Source organism: Homo sapiens, chromosome 18 (assembly GCF_000001405.40).
Source record: "Homo sapiens chromosome 18, GRCh38.p14 Primary Assembly".
NCBI classification, from domain to species: Eukaryota; Metazoa; Chordata; class Mammalia; order Primates; family Hominidae; genus Homo; species Homo sapiens.
This window is the reverse complement of record NC_000018.10, coordinates 13419135-13442771: the sequence shown is the minus strand read 5'-3', so window position 1 is coordinate 13442771 and position 23637 is coordinate 13419135. Positions and strand designations below refer to the sequence as shown.

General features: G+C 46.3%; 1 protein-coding gene and 1 long non-coding RNA gene across 46 annotated transcripts in view, besides 2 other annotated features; one reads left to right on the top strand and one right to left on the bottom strand.

Moving 5' to 3' along the window:
* LDLRAD4 (low density lipoprotein receptor class A domain containing 4) overlaps nucleotides 1-23637 on the bottom strand; it is a 435073-nt gene that overhangs the window by 209983 nt on the left and 201453 nt on the right. For 27 of the 45 annotated variants that reach the window (NR_172142.1, XM_047437773.1, NM_181481.5 and 24 more), the window contains one exon: nucleotides 4388-4528. The exons of 16 other annotated variants lie outside the window; for them this stretch is intronic. Coding sequence is in view for 23 of the 29 variants with exons in the window: in XM_047437773.1 (XP_047293729.1) it covers nucleotides 4388-4528 (141 nt within the window). In the remaining 6 variants the exon portion in view is untranslated. Of the gene's footprint in view, nucleotides 1-4387; nucleotides 4529-17174; nucleotides 17331-17481; nucleotides 18601-23637 lie in introns of those variants that run through there. 2 more of the 45 variants (XM_047437790.1, XM_017025970.2) reach the window with 2 other exon arrangements.
* Nucleotides 15238-23273, top strand: LDLRAD4-AS1 (LDLRAD4 antisense RNA 1). Its single transcript, NR_040031.1, has 4 exons — nucleotides 15238-15392; nucleotides 16659-16840; nucleotides 19079-19197; nucleotides 21564-23273. It is a non-coding gene; the product is annotated as an LDLRAD4 antisense RNA 1 (long non-coding RNA).
* Nucleotides 16248-16810: an enhancer, noted in NCBI's record as "H3K4me1 hESC enhancer chr18:13425961-13426523 (GRCh37/hg19 assembly coordinates)". NCBI's record gives its function as "activates a minimal SCP1, AML or CMV promoter by ChIP-STARR-seq in primed H9 embryonic stem cells {active_cell/tissue: H9 hESC(primed)}" and the evidence as "EXISTENCE:reporter gene assay evidence [ECO:0000049][PMID:30033119]".
* Nucleotides 21394-21443: an enhancer, noted in NCBI's record as "active region_13116". NCBI's record gives its function as "activates an Ori minimal core promoter by ATAC-STARR-seq in GM12878 lymphoblastoid cells {active_cell/tissue: GM12878}" and the evidence as "EXISTENCE:reporter gene assay evidence [ECO:0000049][PMID:35858748]".

Sequence of the window (23637 nt, the reverse complement as noted above, 5' to 3'; positions counted from 1 at the left end):
TTATCGCTTCTGGACGGTCGAAGGAACGCTGCTGTCCCCCACTAAGATGTGGCCAAGGGGCTTTGGAAACACAGCACCACAGGACGTGCTTGGCTGGGCAGGAACAATGAGGTGGCAGGTCCACCAAGTGGGATGCCAGCCTCAGGCTCCCCGCAGCCGGCCGGCCAGCAGGTGGCCCGTCCTAGGACCAGGGCAGGAGGTGCAGCCTTATACATTGGCTTCTGTCTCTCTAGGCCCAACCCACTTTCTCAGCCGTGCCCCACGCGGGCCCCAGCCATGTCCTTCTGTCCCAAGACAGCGCCACCCTCATTGCCAACCTACGCTCATGCTCTTCTGGGCCCTGGCACTCTGTCCTCTCCTCTTGCCATCCAGCACACCTACTCCAGGAAGCCACTGTGACCACTAATCCAACCAGGATGAATCTCTCTATCCCCTGAACTACGAATGACTGGACCCGCTCGGCCCTCACTCCCTGGGCCCATTTTTAGTTATCTTTGTGCAGGTGTGAATTCGCCTCCCCACTCTCAGCACCTTGATAGCAGGGTCTATATTTTCCTTCATTCCTCGTTTCCACAAGGCCTAGTACAATGACCAGAGAAGGTACTTCATAAATAATTTTGTTTGTATAAGGAATAATTTGTATAATTATTTTATTTGTGTAAATAACAAATAATTGTGTTTGTGTAATTTGTATGTTTAGTGCTCGGGGTACAATATTTTGATAGAGCAGCCAGAGAAAAGATGTGACAAAACCTGGCAACTTAGGCTGACAGCATATTTCCTCTTCCACAGAAAGATGCAGCCAGGAAAACTCATTCCCCAGGAGATAATGGATGTCAGCCCAGACCTCCACGTCCATGCAAAACCCTTTGGTCTCTCAGCAGAATAAAGCAGCCTCGGTCCAACCATAACCTGACCATGGTGAGGAGAGGCAAAAGGCAGATGAAACCCACTATGCCTCAGCCTGGGCTCCAAACACATTTTTGTTTGAAGATAAAAGCTACTTAGAGCAACTTTCAGAGCTTCTGTGATTCTTAGTATTGCTGGCTTTACAAATAACAGTAACATTTTCTTGTTAACTTTAATTCATGCTGAAATTTAGCAAATATCAAATGGGAGATATGGCCAAGACATCTGAGCCATGGAGCATACTCAAAGCTAACGGCACGGCCAGGAAACTAAACTGATTCTAGCTCATCTGGAAATCCAGAAGGTCTCACCTCGCTTCAGCCTCAGTGCCCTCAGATCCGGAACACTGAGTATATCCCCCAGGTGGGAACAAGGTGACATAGATCACACAAGCCAATCCTGCTCCTAAGCAGGAAGAAGAATGAGGCATCGCCTTTCTGAAGCATGGCACTTCATAGACAAGAGTTCGTGGGATACTCTGATTCCGTCCAGGTGGAGAGGAAGGGGACCTTACCGTCAGAGCAGCACACCATGAAAGGCAGGCTGTCTGCCTGCTGTAGGAAACGGGCTGGTGAAGGATCCAATAAAAAGTGTCATCCACTAACACCCGAGGCTCTAAGGCTTGTTCACAGCTATTAACAGGAAGTGAAATATCCCTGTTCGCTGCCCAACAGAATACGGGGAAGAGAATATATAGCCATTCAATACGAGGCCACCCTCTGGCCTCCTCCCCTGGGAAGCCACACACCTGGCAGAGGTGAGCTGCAGCAGAAGACAGAGAAACCACCACCTGCCCCGGAGCTCCCAGCCACACAGAACAATCCAGAGGCAACCCGCGCCGTGAGCGTCTCCCCATGACCACTCGCCCAGCTCCCTCGGGCTCCTGCAGAGAACCTGAGGGGAACGTAGGGGGCAGCCACAGGCCAGGTGGCAGCCTTCCCCAGGGGACAGAATAGGGAGAATCATCCAGGATCACTGGGCAAGTGCACTTGTGGACACCCGTGAATTCCTGCTCCGTGTACACAATGGCTCTGACATTACAGATAAACCATACAAAGTCACAGCAGTGCACTCCCCAGGAAGGGCCACGTGGGGAGTGGAGATGGCAACTGCAACACGATGACATAGACTGTGTTTCCCATGGACGTTCTTTCCTTTAGATGCTTACACGGCAGGAAGTGTGCCTGTTCCACAGGGAGAGAAACCAAGCTGAAAGGAGCTGTCACTCCCCTAGGCCGAACCTTGAACCCAGATCAATCTGAAGCCACAGCCACAGTCCTGCCCTTTGTCATTCCGTCTCCTGGCTCTCCAGTCTTCTTAGAAGAGAGTATATTGTAAATAATATCCCATTTTAGCTATAAAGACAAAAGTTCTAGTCATATCTGAACAGTAGGGGGCCAAGAGTTTGCCAACAGGATCGTAAGACTCCTCTGTTAGGGCAAAGTTGAGCCACTGATGGATGTAACTGCTCCCTCGGCTTCTAGGCAGAATTAAAGTGCTCGCATTTTAAAAAATGAGTGGAAAAGCGATCTGGAGATAGGCCTCAAAAACCGGAAAGAATACTGACAAGAAAGGGAGCGAGGGAGGAGGGAAGGGTAGGAAGGAGGGTTGAAAACAAGGAAGCCCTCGGCAAAAGGGCCCTGAAGTAAAGGAGGAGCCCGCAGACCAGAAGAGGCCTGTGGAGCGCCCCAGAGCAGAGGCCGGGGCTCCAGAACTCTGAACCCAGTCAAGGCAGCACACAAGGTCCTGATATTCTCTACACAGCTTACCGTGGTGTGTCTGCTGTTAGTCAAGTCCAGAGAAAACAGAGTAAGATGCTGCTTGTACTCACCTCCTTCTAAGACCCCAAGCCTGGGTTGAGGTAATCTTGAGTGCTTAGCGCCTGGAATATGCTGCTCTAAGTGCTGGCTGTGGATTGTCCTGTGTGATACTCCAATAACCATTCTTATGTCCCCATTGTGGAGATGAGGGCACTGAGGCTCAGGAGATGAAAACATCATTGTTCCATCCATGTGGAAAGGCCAACAAGCAGGGTTCCTCAGGGCTCCCGACCCTCTGGCCTGCTGCCTGCTCATCCTCAGGGAGGTGCTCACCCAGCTCCCAGTCCCCCATCCTGACCTGCAGCCTTCCTCCCTCTTCCTGCACCCAGCCCTGGTTCCATGCACTAAGTAGCACACCCAGAGCAAGTGCCTCCGGGCCATCCTGGGCCTTGGGGGAGCAGGGGCCTGCAGGCCAGATGACTCCAGGTGAGAGGCAAGCTGTATTACACAGAGACTACCGCACAAAACACGGACCCAATGCCAGGCAAGCACGCGCCCAGCCTGAACCTCCAAGAACTGTCTTTGCAAAGTATAGAGATGGGACTCAAAGAGCGCTTGGTAGGAGAAAATGCAAATGGGAATACAATAGAAAAACTTGAGAAAAACTATTTGTACTATAAGACTCTTGAATTTAGCAAGCATAAATAGCAGGCTTAAAATTTGCTAGAGCACAGTCATTTTTATATTGGGGACATACGTAACTTGCCCCCCATATAAAAATACAGTAGGAATACAGAAAATAGTTTCTTTTTTTAAATCCCCTCCCATTTTCACATTTGCAGCACTGGTATTTATGTAGTCTAATTTCCATAACAAAAATTTTAAAATCTGTCTCAAATATAACTCCTCAAAATAATGTCAGTAAAACTGGGGAGAGAAGCTCAATGCATCATAAAATGATCTCAGTAAGAAGGCCGTGTGAGGAGGGTCGGCCCGGCCAACGCTCTTCCCAAGGTGTGCAACTGCAGAAAGATCCTCAGCCTCAACCCCCTTCACTTAGCCCAGAGAAACACAGAAAACAGTAAGCCACTTTTCCTAAGAGAAGTTCAGCGGGCTTTCAAAGCTGCCTTCTTTCTCTTTCCTTGTCACAAAAACCATGAGATCGAAAACCAACGAACTTCAAACTCTGACTCCACTTCTTCAAATTCAAGAAATGCTCAAAGCCTCAGCCTTGGGGATTCACACATGTCAAAACCTCACTCAAGCTGTTTCCATCCAGTATCTAATAGAAAAACACATGATCAGAACCTTCAAGGATCCCATGTAAATTTTTCTACTTTCATATTTCAGTTGCATGATTAATTATGTACCTTCCACATATCTTTCTTTGCTTATTTAAAATTACTTCTGAAGTAGTAATGTTGGTATGAAGAATACTAAATCAATACATGATTTCCTGGAATCCAGGCATTGCTCAGACAAACAGCAAAAGCCTATTTCAAAACAGCTCCGCTGACCACTTTAGAGAACAGAACAAATTTCTGACTTTTGAACATGCTGTCCCTCTATCCTAAAAGAAGAAAACATTTCCTTTGTGAAAATGCAAATCTCTTTCCTTAACCAGAAAACAACCTCCTTCCCATGTCCCAGTGACCCCACCTCCTAACCGTTTCAGAACCACATCAGACAGTGCCACCCAGGTGGGAGGAGAGACTTACAGTTGAAGATGCCCGGAGGCGGGTGCTCGGTCACCAGGAGACAGTTCTCTTCGTCACTGTTGTCCCCACAGTCGTTCTGTTGGTTACAGACCAGCGAACCAAGATACAAGCATTTACCACTGGTGCAGGTGAATTTGCACTCTGAAAAAGTACAATATAAAGCATGGAGCAGTCAATGCAAGCTTGGTGCTCTTGAGCTGTGACTGTCGTTGGTTTTTCTTTCCCCCATTTGCATGCCATGATTGTTTGGGAGCTCAGACTATCTGGAGAGCCCAGGACACTAAACTCAGAGAAGGGCCATCTGGGTAAGGACCTTCCTCGTCTGAAACACACAGGATGGTGCCCTCCTGCACTCCACAGGGGCACCGAGGCCCACCTTGCACGCCTCACTCTACGGCACTGCCCACACAGTAGCACAGGTGCTCTCTTTCTTTCCACAACCTGCTCTGCAAAAGTCATAGCTGTGGGGCTCTATTATTCGGTTTGAAAACATCCTTGGCAGTTCTCCACACTTCCGAGAATGGGGGAGCCCGTGCAGCCAGCCGTGGCAGGGGCCATCAGAACTCAGGAGCGCTGGCTTAACAAAAGAACACTCAGACATTTTATCTCCCACTTGCCACTGTCCTGTGGTGAGAATCTGGACAACATATTTCACCTCTCTGATGTTCATTCCTCTCATGCCTAAGAAAAATCAGGCATAATACCAGGCATGGGTAGCAGTGAATTTACAATGTAAAACATGGGAAAATCATGTGTGCTTTCTGCTAAAGGGCCATGCTGGTGAACTATAAAAATAGGGCAGGTCCCATACCCAAATCCTTATAGGCCACACTGAACACAGGCTCCCTAAAGTCTGTACGAATCAATATTTGAAAATGGAATTCAGTTTTGTAGGACTTTAAAATAAATTTGCACACTTAACACATTACTATCCATTTAAGCAATGAAGAATAAAGGAAGTTACACAATTATATACACTTGAGCACAGAAAGGTCCATTACATCTTACAGTGACTGTCATCCTGCATTCTGAGTGTGGGCTTGGCCCTAGGAAACCACAGAAGCTGGCAGGATTCACACAGCACGGCCCACTCAGTACACAGCGGGAAGACAGAGTCTCTGGAGGAGTCCCGGGTTCCTCACCGCCACTGACTGTCACAGCCTCTTCCTTTTTCCAGGCCTTGGTTCTGTCTGTCTGGAATAAGGGTGGCAGGCCTGGATCAAGTCCAAGGTCCTTTCAACTCAGATTTTCAATCATTCAAATAAAAGGCTGGGCATCGGCACACCAAGGCCTCTTCCAGCGATGCTAACCATGTGTGGGGCTACCCCATGAGAGCCCAGCCTGCCTCTCAGCGGCGAACTGTGGCCCGCAAGACAATAACCTTCACCTGTTGTAAAGAAACACAACTTAAGAGTCCTCAAAGTATTTTTGTGAACCTGTATAAAAAGCGTATTATAATCCTCCATTTGTTCACATTCTCCTAAAAGAGTATAGAAAAAGAAACCAGCCGAGCTGCTGACCTAGTTTAGAATAACATGTGAACACAGCCCAAATGCACACCCACAAGCGCCTCGCTAGCGGCGCCATCCAGGTTAGAAAATCTGTGTGCAGAGTGAGGCTGGGCCACGTGGTGGGGGTGCTGCTGGAGCCAAACGCTCTCTTTCCATAAGGTGGAAAGATTAAAACCCAGCTGTTTGAAATCACATTTACTAAGTAACATTTTTTTAACTTAATGGAAAAAAGGGATGTCAAGGGAAAAATTTATCTTCCTTTCCAAAAGAAATATTGGACTATGGATTTATACCAAACATGAAAAGCGCATTAACCGAAAACAGGTACTCCCTGTGTTGCTAAAACAGTGATTGGGAAAAAGGAATACTAATCTGAATTGAATCAAACTCTTAACTAAAAAGTTCACCATTGCTGTGGTTTGAAAGGATCCAAGGTTAGACTACCATATTCAAGTTGGTGTGGAACATTAAACTACCCAAGAAATGAAACCACATCCACACTTCACTAATTTTAACTTGTTGGGGGGAGACACGACATGCTTGCAAGGAAATGAATTCTGTGGCTCATTCATTCGTTCATATAACCAATATATTAGCCGCTTCTATGTTCTGTGCTAGGTACTGAGACATGGAAACTCGGAAGTGAATGAGCTAGCCCTCTTCAAAGAGCTTATGACATGAACTATTTTAAAAATATGAGCAGTGACTAATTTGCTGCTCCTTCCAAGGCCAAACATTTCCCTTCTTTATCTCCTTCATAATCTAGAGGGCCGCCCAGCCTGTGACAGGCACTCGGTGAATCACACATTTGTTGAATAAATGAATAATTTGATCTGAGCCTCATAAGAACCCTGTGAAATAATTAGAGCAGATATTATTCTTCCCATTTTATTCCATTTTGCCTCATCTCATAGCACTGCCTCAGTTTCCAAATCCACTTTAAGGAATGTGAGAGACTCACTTGTAATGGGCATGGCCCCATGCATAACAAAGTTCCCCAAATCACTTGTTGTCTTAAGTAGGCTCAACCTTACTCAGGAAACACTAACAAGGCTTGTGCTACTAATGTGCTTGGCTCTTACTTCTTAGATAACGGAAACAACATCAACCTATTAAATTTCAAATTCAGCTGGGTACAGTGACTCATACCTACACTCTCCACACTTGGGAGGCAGAGGCAGGAGGATCATTTGAGTCCAGGAGTTCTAGAGCAGCCTGGGCAACAAAGCGAGACCCTGTCTCTACAAAAAAGTTTAAAAATTAGCCAAGTGCAGTGGCACACTCCTGTACTCCCAGCTACTCAGGAAGCTAAGGCAAGAGGATCGTTTGTGCCCAGAAGTTCCAGGCTGCAGTGAGCTATGATCATGCTACTGCTCCCAAGCCCAGGTGACAGAGCAAGATCCAGTCTCTAAAAAATTAAAAATTAAAAAAAATCAAATTTATAAAATCTAAATCTCAGCAGTGAGTCATTAGCCCAATATCAGAGTAAGGTCTTTCCATCACATGGCCACTGGAATCAGAATGACCAGATTGAGAATTTTAATTTATTGGCTTCTTGATGTGATATAGAAAATACTAGAAAATTGCTGTAATGTGATTAAGTGCTAAGAATTAATGCTAAAGCTGGAATGAGAACTGCAGAGCACAGTAAATATCTGTCCAACTTAACAAAACTGGTGTTGACAGAGGCAGGCTTCCACCTCCATCCCAACTCCGGACAGGCTGTCCCCAGCACACTGTGCCACCCAAAAGCCCAGTGCATTCAGGTCCTCTAATCACGAGATTATTGTGATATTTCAAACAAACTGATAACCCTAGGAGAAAGGCCCTCCTCTTAGCTGCATATTGGGATCACCTGGACGTCTTTCAGCACTGCTGGGGTCAGAGTCCCAGACAGGTCCTATCTCACTGGCCTGAGGTGCAGTCAGACAGCGTGGGTTTTCTGGCACCCTCTGGCCTGGCTCCAATGGGCAGCGCAGATGGAGAACCACTGTCTACTGAGAAAGAGGTAGCTCACATACAGCAAGCCTCCTCTTTAGTTAATGGTATTTTATTGGAATGTTTATTTGGTATTTGCTAATTTACAAAGAAGAAAACTAAAATACAATCTCTTAAAATAAGCAGGTATTTGGATAATTGCTGACTACAGGGCCCAGTCGCTAGAGCTCTGTTCTGTCAATGGGCTATTTGGGAAACTTTGGAACCAATGTAGTTTTGACCCCTAAACTACACTTTGACAGACTAGAACCAGAGAGGGTCCTCCATGAAGTAAAACTCAAGTCAGAGAAAGACAATGGAAAATTTTTAAAAATATGTTGTCTATTCTTTGTGGAACTTGTTGAGTATTTCTGCCAAGCTAGAAGTTGAGGGAAATCATGGATTGTTAAACATTAGAAACATTTTGGTGACAAATTCATGGCAACCTCAGATGTATAATACTGGACTGGAATACAGAATGAGTTGCTCAGGAACCAGTGTCTCCTCCAGGAGCTATAGACGTATTATAACCTATAAGATTTAAATCACTCCTCTTCTTAAAAAAAAGTCATGCCCTTCTAAGTGAAGAAAGTGGCATTCCTCTTTGCCAAAATTTCCTATTTGATTTCTTATTAAAAAAAAAAAAAACTTAGGAGAAACAACTTCCAGAGTCAACAACAGACTTTAGAATCGCTGTAAACACTTCTGGTAATAACACAATCTTCTCCACATTTAGGGTATTCAGCTTCTCTGCATTTCTACATAAAGCTTCTGATGGGTTTTTCTGTGTTGTGGAGTTATCCCAGAGTCATCAAATCTTAATGCTGAGAGGGACCTAGACACACTGATCCACCCCTCACCTCCCAGGTGAGGAAGCAGGCCAGGGATAATGCCTGACTTACCCGAAGCTGGAGAACAAATTACCTGTAGTGGAACATAAAACCCGAGATTTCCATCGGATCGAGAGGAAACCCTTTTTTGTCCTGAAGGTCATTCTAGTTGTGTACAAACTAACATCAGCCAGTTGGGTTATACCATGTGCGAGAGGAGAAAGGAAAAGAATGATTCAGAGAAAGGGAATGTCCTAATATTTTATAACCTTTGAAAAAACAGGGAATTTTAGGAGCCCTAAAACTAGGGGGGAAATGGAATATCTTAAGGTTTTCTGTGAATTCCAAACTTATATACAAAAAGGCTATGTTAAAAAAAATTTTAAGGACCAGTAGCTTAACAAATTTGAATAATGTAAACCTAAACTCGGTCAGGATGCAATGATAAATGCTCAATCTTAAGCAGGACAAATCAAGCCTCACAGAGACTAAATTTAATCTGCTTGGTAGAGTCAACATTCTACTAGTTAACAGGCAACAAAAAGTTGTTTTCAATTTCCCCTACACTCCTTTAAAGCCTTAGTTTTCACAGATACGATCTCAGTCACAAAATAAGGACCTATATACAGCATTACATCTCAGCTGTAAAATCAGCCTTTTTTGTGAATTGGCAAAGTAGTCTACATTAGTTATTTCTGTTAAAATTCATATAGCAACACTGACTCATTTAGTTCACACTTCTATCATTCACAAACCTGAAAATGGAGAGTGATTCTGGCTCCATCATTTCTGACATTAAAGTCTAGAACCTGCTCTCTGTACGGGTGCCTTTTCCATGTACTTACATTGTAAATAGCAAAGAGGTCAAATCTAGCTGCCAGTGACGTGTAAGCCAAGAATTAATGGGTTCTAAGATTAGCATAAATTACCATAAACAATGTAAGTTTACATTTCCTAGTACAGAGGTGACAACAATGTTTTATTAATTTATATACTCACTGCCTGTTCCCCTGCAAGGTGTAAGATATCCTATAATAAAAGGAAAATTCAGGCTGGGCATAGTGGTTCACACCTGTAATCCCAGAACTTTGGGCAACCAAGACAGGAGGATAGCTTGAGGCCAGGAGTTCAAGACCAGCTTGGTCAACATGGTGAGACCCCATCTCTACAAAAAATTAAAAAATTAGCTGAGCTTGGTGGCATGTGCCTATAGTCTCAGCTACTTGGGAGGCTGAGGTGAGAGGATGGCTTGAGCCTAGGAGTTTGAGGCTGCAGTGAGCCGAGATCACGCCACTGCACTCCAGCCTGGGCAACAGAGCCAGACCCTGTCTCTTAAATAAATAAATAGAAGTAAAATTCAGTGAAGATGGAAAATAATGAGTAAAACACAAAACATAAATCAGGAAATGCAGAGGAAAGAGGAGAGGAAAACTGACTGCAAAGAACTCATCTCTAAACCGAATTCCAACCAAACAAGCCACCACAGCCAAGAGGAAACCAAAGGCATGGTCATGGGACCTCACTGGCCCTTGGGCAGGCATTCCAATCAACCAGAAACAGCCACTCTCCTGCTTCTAAAACTTAACAGGATCTGTCACTCTTTTTATTAAAGGGTGCTGTTCAGCAAGGAGGAGGCTATCCTAGACACCAATTTTATCAAAAAGGGAAAAGGACTCCCCATCTTGTAATTTCCTAAATCAGCCTTCAGGGAGGTTGAAATATTCGATTCCATAAAGTGGTTTCCACAAAGTTGCCAAAACACAGCATCCAGAAAGTAGTGCTTTAGCTAATTATGAAGATAAAGCTTTGAGAGTTTTCAGAAATGAAAAGTCGATCCTTAGGGCGATTCTTCTTAAACGTCAGCTTTTGACAGCATGGGAACTGACAGCATGGGAATGCCGTGGGGATGATGCACGCACTCACTCCCCTGGGGAAACCTGCAGTGCAAGGTGCACATGTTGAGTAGGCTGCGAGACTGCACCGGCGTGTTATCAACGTGAATCCCTCTGGGAACCTGAGGGAGGAGAATGCAGCAGTGCTCATGCCTCACCTGGTGTCACAGGCCAGCTCCACGCTCAGCCAACCTCGGCGTAAAGGCACCGGCCTCACTGGTGACGCTCTGACCTCACTCAAAGACGGGCTGACATTCCCGTTCATAAACTTGGAACAAAGTGGAATTTACTTTGAAGGTTTATATTCTGTGTTAATGAATTAAGTTAACCCCAAAGCATTTAATAAAAGTCCTATCTTAAGTGGTGCTGCTGAAACCATAGTTGTCCTTCAGAAAGATGAATATGACATGATAAAAGGAAATCTGCCCAAGTAATAAGATTACCAGAGAAGAGCCTCCCGTCAAAGAGAGTAATAAAAAATGTTTAAAAACTCAATCCATTTTATGATATGGTTTGTCGCTCCCATTATGGTGCTGAAAAGATGATTTTAATGGGTCTCAAATTCTATGAGAACCATAAGTGAAACATGCAACAACGTGCTCTTAAAAGTCCAAAGTACTCTCAGGCTTCGGACTTACAGACCTGCAATTACCCTTCAGAGCAGCTTGAACAAATCACCCAACTTTCCATCAAAACACCACCTGGCATTTTAAAGTCATAAAAGTCCTTCAGGGCTTGAAAGGGTGGATAACAGTGATTCCCGTCTATGTTTATAACCAATGAATGAATGAATTTGCTTTTGTGGTTTTCTGTCTGTAAGATGCGAGGAGGCATTCTTCCTCACTTCTTACATAGAACAGTACCGAAAGTAGGTAAGAACCCCCTTTCAAACTCTTGGAAGAACAGAAATATCAATAAGTGCAATGGACATGGGAGAAGAGTTTGAAACGACGTCACCCATATATCAACAGTGGCTTTCTCTGAGGATGCTGGGGTCACTTTAATAACTTTCAAGTTTCTTGTGGATTTTATATATGATTTTATAATCAGGCACAATAAAAATCCTATTTTAACAGGGAAAATCTCTGAAAACCAAATGTCTATAGAACTCTAAAGCCATTAAAATTCATAATTTTAAAGGCACTAATAAAGTACCTAATTCCCTATGGCATCATCTAAACAGAAATCCTGACACATGAGTCCTTCTTCATGAGGATCAATGGTACTTCAGACACATTTCCTTTCCTTTCGAGAAATGTGTACTGAGCTCCTCCATCAGCATGGAGTGGCAGGGGTCCTGCTCAGCAGGGACACATCCTGGAGGGCAGCGGAGAAGGTGACGTCAGCGAGGGGGCTGGGGGGCCTAGGGAGCCTGCAGGCCTCTGGACAACCTGTGGCTTTTACTTTGTGTGAGACCAGAGGCATTAAAGGATTTTGAATTCAAGGACAAATATACTTCATTTTTTCAAAAAATATTTGATTGAAATACAGCATATGTGTATGTATGCATGTGTGTGTGTATCAGAAAGTCCAGCTCAATGAGTCTATGCAGACCGAAAAACACCCAAGTAACCAGCACCCTGATCAAGACACAGAAAGGCACCTCTGGGGGCCCTAACTTGCTTGTTCCGGGATCTCACTGTGTACAACGTGGTAGGTAGACTTTGGGCGCCAAGGCATCCCATTGTGAAGAGCCTTGTATGCCTTGCTGAGGCCCATTCACAGCTCTCAATCTGCAGGGTTTAAATAAACTTAGTGAAAGTGATGGAAAGTCAACTGTGCCGAGCTTTTAATACACCCTCATCGGGACTAACCTCGCATAACCTTCTCGTGATTTTGCTCTGCAGAGAAAGCAGCATCAATCATGAAGCGCAACAGGAGCTCCACGTCGCCCACTGACAGATGTGCTTTCCATGTGTATTGGAGGTCTGTGGGTGATGAGGACCATATCCACCTGGCAGTATCAACAGAGGCAGATGCACAGGTGTTGACAGCAGAAACGTGGGCCCCAAAATGGGAAGCACAAGAGTGCCTGGCAGCATTTATCCTCAGGTGTGGTGAAGGCTGGGCCGGGAGGCTCTTTCCCTCTGGTCAGTCCCTCATTCATTCATGCATCCACCCACCAAGAGCCCGTCACTGCCTGGGCAAGGAGCACGGCCACAGGCAGCAAGGGAGAAGTGGACAGTCCACCGCCCCGAGACCCAGGACCCAGGATACCGGCCTCCTTCCAGCTCTTACACTCAATATTCTGTGTATCCTCAGGCAACTCTTTATCTCTAGATTCCTATGATAAAGTGAGGTGCCTGGACTACACCAGCAGCTTTTCATTTTTCCTCTGAACAACTTCAGTGCTCCCTGTGGGGCCTCGCGACCTGCGGCAGAAGCGGGAGCTGCGTCAGGAACCCTGAGCGCTGGCTCAGGTCTGCATGCAGGGGAGGCTTCCCTTGGAGGGTTCACTGAACAAGGGCATCCCCTGGCTGAAAGGCCTGAAAGCCTCTTTGCGTTCTCACACCTAAAAGTCTTATGTTCTAAAAGTCCTTCGATTCTTATGATCAGTGATTCTATAAATTTTTAAGACAGGGATTTTGAAAAATAAAATCCCACATTAGTTCTTTGGTACTTCCGTCGCCTGCTCTGAATTATTCCAATGAACATTCAAATGACAGGTAACTTTAAAAATGGATTCCTGAATTCTGGACATTTTGACACACACTGATTATATCAACAACAGCTCCACACGGCCATTCCCACGAGAAGGCCAACATGCTCTAACTTCTGGTCTTATAAAAAGATGCTCTGGGCCCCATGGCCCATTTCTCTGCTCCCACAGTTTAATGCTGCAAACAAGTTTTCTGTACTCACTGTGTCTAATTTCTGATTCTCCCCTAAACAAATCCGAATCAGGCTTTGGGGCCCATCACTGCACCAACACCGCCTGGCCAGGTCCCTGGAGACCCCCATGTGGTTAACTTGGCCTCATCTCACCAGACCCCAGTTGACACCTCTGCTCCCTCCCACAGGGAACCGCATCCTTCCCATGTCCCGACGCACATGGCACTGCACTCCTCTCCACACCTCTCAGCTCCTCCTCCACTCCCTGACCTCTTAACCTTGGAGTGCTCCAGCTCACCCTTGGCTCCATTCTCTTTTCTGCATACACCATTCCTTTGCCATCTCTAGCAGTCACTGTCTCACACTAACAATTCCCACATTTATCCCTGACCTTTCCACCTTGCCCTAGACCCCAGACTCCTCCAGTCACTTGTTCAACATATCCTTGTGGAATGTATAATAGACATCTCAGCTTACTATGTCCAAGGCCAAATACCTCATTTTCCCACCCAAAGTCACTCCCCCAGTAGCTTTCCCTATCTCAGAAACTGCACTGGGGATAGAGATGCCACTGCAGTCATCCATAACCCCTTCCTTTCCCTTACATCCCAACCCATCCACACACTCTGTTGGCTCCACCTCCAAAACCCACTGGAAATGGACCCCTTCCCACCACCTCACTACAGTCACCCTCCTCCAAGGTACAATCTCCCCTCCCCATGGTGATCTCCTAGCTCCTCCCCTGTCCTTCCACCACGGTTTACTCATAAGAGAGCAGTCAGGATGTTCCTGCTGAGATGGAAGTCAGATCAGGTCTCTCCAACAGCTTTCATTTTACTCAGAGTGAAAACCCAAGTCCTCATAATGAACTTGACATGACCCTCCCTGATGTGGCTCCCACCAGCTCTCCAGCCTCCCCTTGCCCTCCCGAGGTTGGCTCTGGATGCCTGGCCTCCTCGCTGCTCCCTGCACACAGGGCTCATCCATACCTGCTGCTCCTCTGCCCAGAGCTTTCCTGAGACCCCTGCTCAGCCAACTCCCTCACTTTCATCAGGCCTTCGTGCAAACATCACCATCGCCGTGGCCTCCCTCACTCCACTCCCCATCTCACCTCCCAGACTCCCGGCTCCTCCTACCTCCTTTCCTGCTTCACTCTTCTCTCCTACTCATATTTCCATCTAACATGATAGTCAAATATACACATCATATTTCTTGTCTTCTTTTCTCCATTAGAGCATAAACTACATGAGGGCAGGGATTTATGTCTGCCTGGTCTTACTAATGAGTCCCCAGAGTGTGGTACATGGCCAGCAATCAATCAGTATTATTACTGTAAGCAATCAATCAATATTATTAAAGAAATCAATGAATAGATGTAAAAGCCTGTGGAGAGGTTCTTATAGGAACCACAGTTAACTATGGGTGTCCCTTTGGGTGAAGAAAATTTTCTCTAGCTGAGTAAATATCCTCACTAGAAATAAATATATGGAAAATGAGGCAGGAAGGAGATAAAAGAAGGAAATAATATATTATTAGCAAATTGTGAAAGATTTTTAAAGGCAGAATTAGTTAAAGTTACTGGCCACATGGTTTTTTTAGTTACCTGTGGTCTTCAATTATGGAATCGTTCTCTCCTGTCCTCAAGGTCATAAATAGCTAGGCTTTTTCCATCTGTCCCTACCCAGTCATCTGGCTGTGCTCCTAAATCACAATGTTCTCTCTCAGCACAACACTGTGTGTTTTGGAGAGAAAATCCATTGTCTGGCTGAAGCCCTGGACTGTTGATTCAGGAAACAGCCAGCTCCTTCCCTTCCAGCCTCCGGCACCCTGAGAACTGGGTGTGAGTGCTGATTTCTCCACCTGTCTTATTTCTTAATATCTGCAACCAGCTCAGAGCCAGGGATAAGTCAAGACTCCACCAGCCCATGTATGGCTGCCCGGCTGCCCCCAGCCTTGCCCTCAGGTGGGTCACAGCTTGCTATTTTTTTCCCACTTGGGTAAAAACTGCCTGACTTTCTTGCCTTGAGCTTCTCATGGCATCTGCCTAGAATCCTTCCCAACTTTATGAAATTTGAAAACGTCTTCCTTCTGAGATCTTTTTTCTTTTCTTTTCTTTCCTTTTGTTTTATTTATTTATTTGTTTGTTTATTTATTTATTGAGAAGGAGTCTTGCTCTGTTGCCAGGCTGGAGTGCAGTGGCGCAATCTCGGCTCACTGCAATCTCCGCCTCCTGGGTTCAAGCGATTCCCCTGCCTCAGCCTCCCGAGTAGCTGGGACTACAGGTGTGCACCACCACGCCTGGCTCATTTTTTTTGTATTTTAGTAGAGACGGGGTTTCACCATGTTGGCCAGGATGGTCTCAATCTGCTAACTTCGTGATCCGCCCGCCTCAGCCTCCCAAAGTGCTGGGATTACAGGCGTGAGCCACTGCACCTGGCCTTCCTTCTGAGATCTCAAACCTCACTGACCTCATAGGGCGTGGGCTACATAAACACCCATGTTCCCTGTATTCTTCAACCAACCCACACCAGAATTTTGTGATGGCATCTTCATACCTCTTTTATGGATGGCAGGATGTTCTACTGCAGGAGAATGTCCCAGGCCCCAAACAAGGAAGGTCTGCTGGTGAACTAAACTGTCTCTTCCTTCCCAGATGGAGACTTGGTACTTAAAAGAATGGCTTTTGGCTCCTGTAACTGATAACACTCAAGGCTGGGATCAAAGTGGGTGGCAAGCTATTGCGTGCACTCCCCTGTACACCAAGCTGCAGTAGGAAGAGGCACGGGTGGGGCTGTTGGGTTCTCAGCAGGAGGCTGAGCTCCAGGCTGACCTAGAACCAGCCCCGCTACTGGGCAGAGAGATGGGAACCTCTCACCTGCCCTGAAAGTTACAGCTTTATTAGGAAAAACTACTTATTTCTGACAACCTATGCCAGGCCAGAATTCCAAGCTCTGCAAAGACAAAATATTTTTTGACTGAACATGCCCATTTCAGACCTTTCATAAAGAACTTCTTTATAGTACTAAGTGCCAGTTAAGGATTTCCTAAATTCCTTTGTCTATCTCCCCAGTAACCAAAAAGAGAATATTTCTAGTAGACTTGGGAGACTTCAAAATAACGTGGTCAACAAACAGGAGCAGGGGCTTAAAACCCATTATCCTCAATGGAACACTGGCTGATAAAATCCCCTACCTTCCAAAATTAACAACAAATCTGTCTTTCTGTTCAGTTCTTCCCCGAGGGCATGTCCTGTTGAGAGCCGGTTTCACCTGTGCAGTGTGGCCTGATGGCCCAGCACCCAGGAGCTCTGCGCACCCTGCCGCCATGGGCCATCCGTCCCCAGACCTCTTCCCACAGGGTCACTGTGGTCCACCGTCCTGCCCTCGGGGAATCTCAGCCTCCCTCTCACAGGTATGAATCACCCTCACCCCTCACCCCAGCCTCCCTTCTGTCCCCACCCCTTCTCCAAACAGACAAACCTCAAACACCACCCAGGCCCCGCCCACAGACTCATTCACTGATGCCATCGCTGGACCCAAGTCAGTCAGATGAAGAGCAGGATGGTGTCAGAGCCTCGACCTCGGGAAGCACAGGATGAGAACAATGCAGCTGCCTCCCCAGGCCGTCAACCCCAGCACGGAAAACTCACGCTGGTCCTCACTCCAGCCTGAACGCTCCTGCTGAGGCCAGCTCTGCTCTGTCCCATTCTGTCATCATTAAAGAGAGAAGGGATGGCCACATCTACCTGGAAAAACCACTTCCTCCTCTGAACACAGCTCTCATCTGGAGCCCCGACGTGTCATATTCCTCCACCTTCCTGGAGGGAGGAAGTGCCCCAGTAGGCTGACAGCTGAGCTTTAATTCTGCTCCACAGCCAATCCAGGTTTTCTCAATACTATCTCTGTGGAAAAGTGCATAAAACAGCAAGAATAATTGGCATAAATGAGACAAATGTAACCCAGAAGCTTAGTCCCAAAATGCACACTGAAAGTAAATTCATAAAAATATAAATGAAAGCAAGTTTTCTTTATATTTAAGTATAACAAAGCTACCTATTGATAAATGGGGCCTTCTCCACACCCAGGTCCAGGACTATGTTCCTTGCCTTATTTTTTCCTATAAGGCTTACCACCTTTAAATGAAGCAAAAACAAATGAATCAATAAATCATATAATTAACTTTTATTGTATTTACTGCCTTCAATCGCTAGAATGTAAGTTCTCCTGAATACAAGGAATGTTCACAGTATTGTTTATTTGTTATTTCCCTGGGTCCCAGAACAGTTTCTGGCATGTAATACAGTCTCAAAAATATTTGCTGAATGAATGAAAGTTTATTCTATTAAGCAAACTGTTATCTCTGGATGATAAATGTCATGTCACTCCTCGACCTCAAATCTTTCCATAGATTCCATCACTTCCAGGACATAGTCCGTATTAGCGAGGCATACGTGCCCTTCGCCATGTGGTCCCGAGCATCTTCCTGAGTCTTTCCTAAATCCTACACATCCCCCTGGAGGCCAAAATGCCTCTCAGGCATACCATGGCTTCCCATCACTGCACCTTCATGTACACGGTTCCTCCTGCCTAGAATGACTTGCTCCTCATTCCCTTGCGTGACAAATGCCTACTGACCTTTTAGCAAAAAACAAAAACAGAAAAACCCTTCGCCAAGACTGTGAAGCCTTCTCCAGTATTCCCATCCCCATCCAGGAACTGAGTACCACCGCTTCCATGTTCCCATGGCAACCCGCGCATCCCCCAACACAGTGCTAATCACCTTGCTGTCATTGCTTGTCTCTTTGCTCACCCACGTCATTATCTTTGCATCCCCAGGGGCCAGCACAGTAGGTGGCTAATAGTTGCTTCAACTTAAATGGACTCAAATGCGCTAAAGGGAGGGGAAAAGAGAAGTCAGTGCACTTTGGGGCTGAGTTTTGTTTCTTTCACTTGTACCTGATATCTGTGCTCCTGTCACAGACGTCCACACAGACACACAAGCTAAAGAAGAAGATGGACAAGAATCAGCACACACTTTGCTCCTCTGGTTTCACCTTGAACCAGAGGGCCCATTAGTCGTGTAAAGCCATTAAATATTACAGCTGTATAAATCACACAAACCAGCATTTCTGCCTCTCTCCACTAAGTGTCCAAATCAGTAGCCAATAAAACACTGGAAGTTTTTTTTTTTCTTTCTTTTTTTTCTTTGAGATGGAGTTTCACTCTCGTCGCCCAGGCTGGAGTGCAATGGTGCAATCTTGGCTCATTGCAACCTCTACCTCCCAGGTTCAAGTGATTCTCCTGTCTCAGCCTCCTGAGTAGCTAGGATTACAGGCACATGCCACCACGCCCGGCTGATTTTTGTATTTTTAGTAGAGACAGGGTTTCATCATATTGGTCAGGCTAGTCTCAAACTCCTGACCTCAGGAGATCCACCTGCCTTCGTCTCCCAAAGTGCTGGGATTACACGCATGAGCCATCGCACCAGGCCTAACACTGGAAGATGTTTTAAGTATATAAGTTTCTTGTACAGTGAAAATTATACACACGTGATACAAAGAAATCATAAAATTTCAATGAACACAGGTTGCCCATGACATAAAGGACATGTGTGAAAGAAACGTGAACAGGGCTTTCTATAACTCTTCAGGTGCACACATGGGGAGCAGCCAAGGATTTCTGCAGAAAAATTCACTCCAGAGGTCAGCAGCTAGAAGCACAAATGGAGAGTGAGTGAGCACGAGCGCCTCGTGGACTCAGCCCTCCCAGGTACGGTACTGGAAGATGCTCAAGACACAGCACAGTGAGAAATGTAGTAAATGGGGTTCTTCTTTAGTCTTTTTTTTTTTTTGAGACAGAGTCTCGCTCTGTCACCCAGGTTGGAGTGCAATGGCGCAATCTTGGTTTACTGCAACCTCTGCCTCCCGGGTTCAAGAGATTCTCTTGCCTCAGCTTCCTAAGTAGCTAGGATTACAGGAGCCCGCCACCATGCCTGGCTAATTTTTGTATTTTTAGTAGAGACAGAGTTTCTCCATGTTGGCCAGGCTGGTCTCAAACTCCCAAACTCAGGTGATCTGCCCTCCTCAGCCTCCCAAAGTGCTGGGATTACAGGCATGAGCCACCACGCCCTGCCAAGCCACCAAGCCCGGCCTTCTTTAGTCTTAAAATTAGAAACTTGTTCCCTTAAAGGCCAAAAATGTTCAGAGTTTTCTAGAAGTGGTGGCTCATCATGATTACATCAATATTAAGGAAATACAGTAAAGGCTTCTGGACACCAGTGGTGTGGCAGGCATTCATTCACCCAGGCTCAATGCAGGCTAAGTTGTGCCCAGCCTGAGAGGACTGCCAGGATTAACCCAGAGCCTGCTAGACTCCCCAGGGAGTTGCTACCAGCTCCAGTGCCACACTCCTTCCCAACACCAGCTTTCCGCCTCTGCTAGTTGGAGAGCATGTCACCAAGGTTGAGCGGCAAGCAGCTACAGCCCACAGCCTGGCACAGCACATGGCACTATGAAGGCTGGAGCAAGGCTTGCTGAGACAGAAGAGGAAAAAACAGATCTGTTGCTGGAGATATGCAGAGAGATAAACAGAAAGCAGAAAGTATAGTTTTAAATTTGGTGATGGTGTTGGTTTGGTTTTGTTTTTTGAGACAGAGTCTCACTCTGCCACCCAGGCTGGAGTGTAGTGATGTGATCGTGGCTCACTGCAGCCTCCAACACCTGGGCTCAAGCCATCCTCCCGCCTCAGCCTCCCGAGTAGCTGGGACTACAGGCACAGGCCATCACACTTGGCCTTTTTTTTTTTTTTTGGTAGAGATGGGGGTCTCAATATGTTACCTAGGCTGGTCTTGAACTCCTGGCCTCAAGTGATCCTCCCACCTTCACCTCCCAAAGTGCTAGGATTATAGGCATGAGCAACTGCACCTGGCCTTACTGGTTTTTAACAAGCATATATTTGCAGGAATATCTCTCTTTATTTGCAAGTGGCAATGACTAAGCCTTATTTAGGCTAGACAGAGTATTTCTCCGGATTTGGGGCTGAAGCTCACATCACCATCTCTCTCTGTCTAGTCTTCTAGTCTTCTCTCTGTCTAGTCTCCCCTGCAGCTCTGACCTCCCACAGTGTAAGCCCATGTGACATGTGCACTGAGCTTCTTGCTCCATAATCATGAATGTTCAGTGACCAAAGGAATGGCACAATAATGGAATGAATCCGAGAAACACATATTGGCCAAAAATTGCTATTAATTCAGTAATACTTAGATAAACGGTAACTGACCCCTCACAACAGAAATTAACGTATTTGAAACAGAGCTCCTCCCCGGGGGAGTTCCGTAACTGGTGTGTAATGAGCATCAGAAGCATGGGGTAGCCCTTCAGTAGGAGACTAGGCACAGGTCTAAGGAGTCAGTGACTGCAGCATAGGCACGGCAGGGGCCCCAAGGCTGCAGGTGCAGCGAGGACTCCTGCCCACCCCAGCCCCAGGCCCGTCCCCCAGGCTAGCTTTCTGGCACTCTGAAGGGCACGTTTTTTCCTGCAGGGGACCCAGTTTGTAGGAATACCTGTATTTCTGCCTCCTCTAAGTGTCCACGGTATCTTTTAATTCTACAAACGGCACTTAGGGAAACAACAGGGCGGTGGGTGGGGGGCAGGGGGAACTCAGGAGAAGAATGTCTACAAAACGCTGGGAGGCAGAAGTAAGGGGCAGCCACGGGTGCCTTCTGACGCGTGAAGGCCAGAAGCTTCTATTCTCGGCTACCAGATGCCTAGGGAGACTCAGGGAACCCTGAGGACTCCCAGGCAGGGCAGGGATGGGACTGGATGCAGCAGCCGCCAGGGCTCTTTGCCATGACCTTAGAGGAGGAAGTGGGGACTCAGAAACGGAAATGAGCACAGGTCACCTGGGGGAGGGCTGGGAGGCCACCCTGCATGCTCACCTCCTTGCCTGGCACACCCAGCTGCAGTGAGCGGGTGATGGCCTGATGGAGCTGCAGCCTCCACAGACCCAGGGAGAGGGGTGGAAGCCAGGTAGGCCTCCTAATTCCACACCCCTTGCCTACCACTGGCTCCCACACAGCCCAGGACACGAATGATCTGGAAATAAGAGTCAAACTATACAAAACTATTCCCACACAGGCCCAGAACCAAGCGCCCATGGACACCCCTACACGGGCAGCAAGGGCTGGAACCGGCAGCCTGGTGGACATCCGCCCTGCAGGGCTCTCCCTCGCAGAGACTGCAGAAGAGGGTGTGCAGTGCTCAGCGCGGAAGGATGTTCTCCCTGCTTTTAAGGAGCCGTGACTATTTTGCTCAGCGTCCCTGGCGTGCCTTTCTCTGTACAAAAAGGAGACTTAGAGGCTTCCCCATCCCATTACCACAGCTGGGCGGCTTCTTGCATGAGGGCACCTTGCTGAACTAAGTCACCCCAAGCTACCCTAGGCTCCCTGTGCACTGAGATGCTGAGTCCTGAGGTGCCTTCCAGCACCAGTGAATGGGACTAAAGTCTTCTGCAGTGTCGCGACCGTTCTGAAGTGAGTATTCTGTGGTCATTTGTTACCCTCTGTGAAGCCCAGGAAGCAGGGATTCAGGGCTGACCAGGGACCACTTTGTTCTCTGCCCATGCATGGAAGGTCTGCACTTGGGCCCCAAAGCCTGAGTAAAGTTTCACCGTGAACTTCTTCCAGCAGGATAAACAGTAGGGTTCAGTACTGAGGGTCTCCAGTTTAAACCCTGATTCCACTACAAAATAAATGCTAGACTGGGCCACATATTTAAGCTGTGTTTTCCTTATGCTTAAAATGGCAGTAAGATTCCTTCCAGAGGCCATGCAGGGAGATAATGCCCACAGAACGCTCAGAGTGGGGCTTGGCAGAGACAGGGCTAGACAGGGGCTGTTATTTAGTGCTGGCATCTTTTATTGGTGGCGATGTTATTTTATTTTCTATGATTATGTAATTTCCTCCTTATAATCTCACCCTTGTTGCTTATCTTAAGAGTGATGTTTCAGGAGCAACAGCATCAATGTAGTGTTTGATATTCTGGACAATCTAACACAAGCAATTTCTAATTCATAATCCACTATTTGTATTTGTTGATTATTTGTTTATAATAAAGAAAGCAATGCTTTGTCAGTTTTCCACAATCTGCCACCAACCTCAGATATGCTTTCATGAAGCTCATCTTCAATTAAGGCCCGTGTGCTTTATTTTTGTGAAAAATGGAGATGTGAAGACATTCTGTGCTCTGCTAGGCTGTGTCCTGAGAACCCCCCTTTTAAAAAGGTTCTCAGTATTGTAGGTGTCACTTTTTTCCATTATAAATCACAAAATGTAGTAGCCAGTTAACAAGACACAGGTGTTGCTCCCCTGAAAGTGCCTGCAGAATGGTGCCGAGGTCCTCTCCTCACCCATAGCTCTTGGCATGATTTATTCCTGCTGCACGCCTTCCGGGAGGTCCACCAGGCTCACGTCTGTGTCTGTGGAGGTGTGTGTGAACATGTGCACGTGAGGGTACATCCAGTCTTCTACCAGCTAATACGTCAGAGACCACATAATGTTAGGCTGGAAGAGACCCTAAAGGTTATATAAACCAATTCCCTTATTTTAGAGCTGAGAAATTTCAGGTGCAAAGAAGGGAGAGGCTATAACATGGTGGCACTAGAATAAGACTGCCGGGTTTGAATCCTGGTGCAACTACTTATTACCTGTGTGATCTTGGGAAAGTGACTTAACCTTTCTGGGTCACAGTTTGGATACCTATAAACGGCAGATATTAACAGTCTCTATTTGTGTGGATATTTTAACAATAAAATTAAATCATTCACGTAAAGAACTTAAAAGACTCTCAGATAGGTTGTGGTGAGCTATGATTGTACCACTGCACCCCAGCCTCCTGTAGCCTGGGCAAAGGAGCAAGATTGTCTCTAAAAAATAAAAAAAATAAAAATCTCCAAGATAGGTATCAGGTCTGCAAAAGTTTGGACCTAATCATGATCCAAAACTATGGCTTGATGACTTCCAAATTTATTGCTTCCTTTTTTGGATGATCATTTATATGGCACAATATGTTGTAAAATGACACAAAAATTAACATTAACGAGCATACCTCTGGGTTGTAGATGTCTACGTACAGATGTCCTTGTCCCAAAACCTATGTGGATCCCCAACTGCATAGATGCCATTATAGCAAATAATGTTCCCAATAAAATGCA